This window comes from Homo sapiens, chromosome 11 (genome assembly GCF_000001405.40).
Source record: "Homo sapiens chromosome 11, GRCh38.p14 Primary Assembly".
NCBI lineage: Eukaryota > Metazoa > Chordata > Mammalia > Primates > Hominidae > Homo > Homo sapiens.
Window position 1 is genome coordinate 115,760,396 of NC_000011.10, and position 6,034 is coordinate 115,766,429.

The 6,034-nt window shown below is 49.1% G+C and overlaps 1 long non-coding RNA gene across 1 annotated transcript in view; it reads left to right on the plus strand.

The window, feature by feature from the left end:
• Window positions 1-6,034, plus strand: part of LINC02698 (long intergenic non-protein coding RNA 2698) — a 242,222-nt gene that overhangs the window by 101,043 nt on the left and 135,145 nt on the right. The window lies entirely within an intron of this gene.

Sequence of the window (6,034 nt, forward strand, 5' to 3'; positions counted from 1 at the left end):
TGCGTCCACACCACCCTGCACCCAGGGCCCGTCAGGTTTTGCAGAAGTTTGCTGAGGGTCCTCACAGGGGGTCTCCCAGGGGAAGGGGTGGAGGGCTGGAGGGGCCGCGGTGGGAAGAGGTGGCAGACGCCGCCTGGCAACGGAGACCCTACCCTTTCTAGAAATTCAGAACGCAGAGAAACCAGTGCCCAGCCCTGCTCTTCAGCAAACGGTGTATTTCAGCCCGAGTTTCCTTCCGGGGGTTTGGCTGTGAGTGTGTGTGACCTCCCAGATGGCGGCACGGTTCAGATCCCATGCTCCCTCTGTTTCACAGCTGCCAGAGACAGACTCAGGGATTCCGGGCTTTGGAAGAAGGTCAGACCATGACCTCCTATCTCCTGTTCTCTTCTCCCCTCACTCATCACCCGCTGGCCACCCCACTCTCTGCACCCCACCATGCATGCTTACTGTAGACCTAATCACTAATTAGCCCAAGGGTTGACTGAGCGTGCTGGTGAGAGTAACAGGAGGCAGGTGGATGGGGAGGTGTGATGCTGCGCGCATAGTAGGTGCTGAAAACATGCAAGGGCACGATGCACATAAGCTAGACAGAGCCCTTGGTCCTGCTGGGTGCTGGGGGAGTGAGATTCAGAGCAGCAGACCATCAGCCGGGTAGACAGAGGTCATGGCCCCAGCAGCTCAGCCCCATTAGCTAGGCTGGTGGGAGGCAGCCAGTGCTTTTGAGGGCTCAGACAATCCCTGCGATTCAAGGGCTGCTCTTTGGAGCTGCTGCCAAACTAATCTCAGGCCTGCAGTCTTGGGCCTTTCCTTTAGTCTCAGCCCACTTGCTGACTCTGCCCTTCAGAGGAGGCCCACTGCCTCCTCCTGGGGCTGAGGATTAACCCCTAAAAACTGAGTTTTGTTTGCAGAGCTATCTCCAAAGCTGAGGGAGCCTCTGGAGTCTCCTGTTCTTGCTGCTTGTTGACTAGGGGGATCCTTGAGGTCAGATGGTGCTGGCAGCAGCTCAGCCCCTAGCCCCAGACACATATTCAGTCTGCAAATACAGCAGGAAATCTTTCTCACCTGGCCCAGCCATCAGTCCTGGCTTGCCCAGCCCTGCAGGGCACTGCCTAGTAGGCCTTTTCCTACAAGCTCAGCCCCACCCAGCTACGGAGCCTGCCCTAATTGGGCTAGGAGGGCACTAGCACCTCCCTTTTACTGGTAGGGGAAGTGCTGTACTCAGATGTCTGCCCACAGATTCAGGATCCAGTATGTTTGTGGCAAACACCCTTCCCTTGATCACCACTAAAGTGGTTCCATTCCTAGTGCTGGGACTCTGCCTTAGTTTCCTAATTAGCACTACAGCCCCCTGAGCTCCAGTCCCATCTGACTGAGATACTGGCCTCCTCTTGGGCCCTTTCCCACCCACATCCCAGGGAGTGGAGCCTGTTCCTCTTGGCTTCAGGACACTACTGAGATCATGGTTTGCCAGGCTGCTCATTCACAGCCACAGCTGTGTTGCTTTTCTGCCTTTGAGGGTCTTTGCTGCCAGCCCCCCACTAATTGTTGGCCTCCCCTTTCCCCATGGGTACCAACTGCATGCTGAGTCAAGCTGAAGATCCCCTGCTCTACTAACTCAGTCTGCCCCCTATAGCCTGTCAGGCTCCCTGTACTGTCTCTGCATCTTCTCTGGCTTGATGGAGAGCAAGGAACAACAGTGAGCTTTACAGTTCCTTCTCTATTTATGTATTCTGCATTATAGCCCTCTAGATTTCGAACCCCTCACCTGGGCTGAGTACCTTACCTTTCAGTAGCCCTGATAGATGAGGCTCTTCTTTGAGAATCTGAGGGGCGATTATGAGTGAGAATCACTCGTAGTGGTTATACCACTTAATTGGGTGCTTTCTTGGAGACAGCTACTGTTCTAGGCACAAGGTAACAGTGGTGAGAAACCAGCAAAACAACCCAAGGTACAACATGAGAGAAGCTATAACAGAGGCAGATGCTAGCAAGAGAGAGGGTGAGTCGGGGAACCTCTGACCTTAGACTTCATCGCATCCATTAGTCCCTCCCAGTCTAACCCCAAGTAGATAAAGTGGTCAGGGGAAGGAAAGGGAAGAACAAGAACAGAGCTGAACTGGATACAGGGAGCCAGTGTGGGTCGGGAAGCACCCAGATTTCCCACTGCGTGCTTTGTGCTGTGTGGGTTGAGGAGAAAAATAACCCTGTATTTGACTACCCAGAGCTTAATTGTGATGGAGGTAACAGAGTCTTAAAGTAAGTAACTCTAATAGAAGGCAGATGATAAAAGTGCTATAATGGGTGTAATCAATATATTACTAATATATGGGGAAGTGGGCACTTTGCTGAAAAGTTTTGAGGGCGACTTCATGGAGATTTCCTTGATGATATATCGTTATTAAACATTACTCTCAAATAACCTGTATCTCACACATGGAGTAGGATGGTAAATTATTATTTGCAGTGGATATTTCTATGTTTGGGCACCCTGATATCCTCCCTGGCCACTTTTTTGGTAGTGATAGTATACCTTTTTTTTTCTTTTTTTTTGAGATATATTTTCCATGCAACTCTCAGCACCTTGAGTTTGATGGGGCTCCTTCCGTCATTCTTCCCCTTCAGGTGGAATTTGAGACTCAGGGGTAAACCCAGTCATCACACTCCAAGGCCTAAGGTTTGGCGATTGGCTCAGGGATGAGTCCATAACCCAACTTGCCCAGTGAGTGTCTGGCTTAGGACTTAGGTGAATTGTTGGGGGATGAGGTAGAGGAAGAGCAGCCTTTTCTCTGTTGGACTTGGGACTAATACAGCTGCTGTCATCTTGCTGCCACCAAGCCTTGAATGACCTGGAGCCAGGACATAGGAAGCCCAGTCAAGGGATGGCCAGAGAGAAACTTGACCCTGGAGAGAGTTTCATGAGCCACCAGCTAGATTCCCAAAGCCAGGCCTAGCCCTGGATTTCTTAATTATACAATCCAATAAATTCCCTCTATTTAGGCACTTTGGTTGGATTTTCTATGACTTGTAACTTATAACCAAAAATGATGTAAGTGATATATGTTTATTGGGCCCCTCCCATGTGCAAAGCCCTGTGCTCAGTGCTTCTAACTATAGCCTTTCATTTGATAGGTAGCTATTACTCTCTCTGTGTTCAGACAAAGAATCAGAGTCTCGAGAGGTTGAGACTTTGGGAGATAGGAAGATTACCCTGGGACAGAGATTTCGGAAGCTCATCAGGGCCTTAAATGGTCCCAGCCTTCAGGGAAAAATGTCAAGAAAGGAGATTTCAGTAAAATAACAAGTTCTTTTTCCAGATTCTCAGCCCTCTTCTTTCCACTCTTCCTGGCATGACTGTTGGCCCTCTCAAGGCATGAGAAGAGGCAGGACTCATGTTGTTGGTAGATATACAGATTCTGTGGGCTGGTAAATTTGTGGTTCTGTTTTCAAGGCTAAGGTTATTGCTGTAAGACATCAATATCAAGGGACACCAGGTCACCTGATTGGGGGGGAATTGTATGAGGATAGCAAGAAGCTTCAAATAATTATGCCAGCCTGCTGAACCTCATGCAGTCTCTGATTGGCACAGGAAAGTTTTCTAATTCAACTCTCGACCTGCCCTGCTCATGCCAGGGGATCCTCCGGGAAGGGTAGAGTTAATGACCAACCTCCTTCAGGAAAGAAAAAGGCTTCAACAACAAAACCCAACAGCACGGAGGGAAGAGACGCAAGTTACCAGCCACAGAAGCTTAAAAAGGAACCCACCCACAGCTCTCGCTACAAATGCTTTTAGCCACACGTTAAATCTTCCCTCTAATGGCACCCCCTGTTAAACGAGATATGTCACCCGACCTGAGGAGGCTGACTTGAAAGGCAAATAGTTGGAAGTGGTTCCACACGTTATTAGTGAGAGCTGTTCTCACATTTCTGGCAAAAATAATGGAGCTGAGGTCTGAAGAGATGACTAATACCTCCCCATTACTGACCCAAGGCCGGGCATCACATTGTAATCCTGGCCACTCGGCTGGCCCTTCAAGCATATTTTTCAGTGCTTGTCCTCTGGGTGCTTTCTGCTGGAGGACTCTGTTAATGTTAACCTGGGCTGCCCAGCCATTGAAATGAGGAGGCTTTTCCTTCACAGGACAGCTTTCGTCTCCATGGGGGCAGGGGAGGAAGGGCTAGGGCCACCCAGTGCAGAAATGATCCACCCTGATGACTGGGGTGGGTCCCCTGCCTCAAGGAAGAGCTGCATTAGTCCTGTCTCAGACGCCACACAGGAATCTGTCCTGAGCCTAAGTTTATCCAGAGTCCTATCATATTCTTTAATAGCCTTTACAGGCATTTTACAGCCCTTCCTGTCTGGAAGTTCTCTGGGTTTAATCTCAAGCTCTCCTGTTAAGATGTTAACCTGTGTCTCCTTCTTTTCCTCCTTCAATAGAATAGGAGAATATTAGATGTATACATGTTAAAGAGTGAATTTAACAAAAGCTGACATTTACTGAGAGCTGACTACGTGCCAGTTGCTGCACAGGGTGCCTCGTGTGCATTGGCTCCTTTAATATGTGCACAGACACAGCTATGGCTTGGGTTCCCAGTGACCTTGGGTTGATGTCTCTATCTAATGGACATTTTTTACTCCTCATTTCCCTTGACCTTGCAGTGATAGTACACCTTCCTGACCACTCTCTTTCATTGAAATGCCCTCCTCCCTGTTCACTGGGAGATGATGCTCCTTTCTCCCAGAGCATAGTCCTATGCTCCTGGATTCCTTTCTTCTGTCTGGGGGGCTTTTCCCCAGTCTCTGTGGCAGGCTTGTCCTCTTCTGCTATCTGACATCTGCACAATGGGGCTCTTCAAGTTTTGGCCCTCACTTCCTCTTACTCTATATTCTCCCCCAAAGGTGATCTTTCCCATGGAATTGGCTTTAATCATCATCCATATGCCAAAGACTCCCTCATTTGCCTCCAAATCAGACCTCTCCTCTACACTTTAGAGCTGTATTTCCAACAGCAAACCTGAAATCTCCACTTAACCATCTTGAAGCTGCCTCCAACTCAATATTTTTGAAACTGAATTCACTGCCTTCATTCTCAGTCTTGGCTCTCTTCCATTATTCCTTTCCTCCATGTATAGAAATGCTGTGTTTTCATTTGCACAAACTAGGAACCTGGGGTCCCCACTCTCTCTGCCCTCTTATCCAGTTGACCACAAGGTCTCTGCTGATTTTACTTCCGAATGATTACTTGGCTCTCTTCCTTAGCCTTCATTCTCTGCCACCACCACAGGCTAAAGTGTTACAGTCTTCTGCTGGTTCCAGCTTCCTCACTCACCCCACACATGCCGACCCCTCTAGTTATTCTCCACACCGCAGAGGGCTCTTTTCAACTCAAATCCTGAACTCTGCAATGGTCTCCCATTGCTCCTAGGGTGTAGACCAAAATCCTTAGCAAGGCCCCACGTGACCTGTCCCTGCTATTTCCTTGGCCTCCTCTTATGTTCTTCTCTCCTCACTTTCTGAGCTCCATTGCATGGCCTTCCCTTGGTTCCTTAATCTACACTCCTGCATGCCTCAGGACTTTTGTGCGTGCTTCTACTCCTGATGCATTATTCTTTCTTTCCCCTTTGCCAATTTAATCTTTGACTCACTCTTCAGCTCGTAACTTGCATAGCTTCTTGCATCAGCTTTCCGTGATCTTTCAGATCAGATGAGGTTTCTATGACATGCAATCGGCTTCCTGCCAGTGCTTAGAACAGGCTGCTCCCTAAATGCCACTGTACAACTGTTTGTCCAATGAACTCCTCCTTCGTTATGTACCCAATCACCAACCTTGAGGGTCAGACCTCAGAACCTGCTGCAATGCCCCTATTTTCCTGGGTAGAGGAAAGGAAGAGGATCCCCTCTCAGCTGTGAAAGCTCCAGGGGAATCCAGCATTTCTATCTGCTATTTTGCCCCAAGGGTCATGGATCCCTCTAGGATGTTCCCTGATGCTTGGGTCCCTTCTTCAGTCTTGTGGTCTGTCCACACCTGGTCCCTGC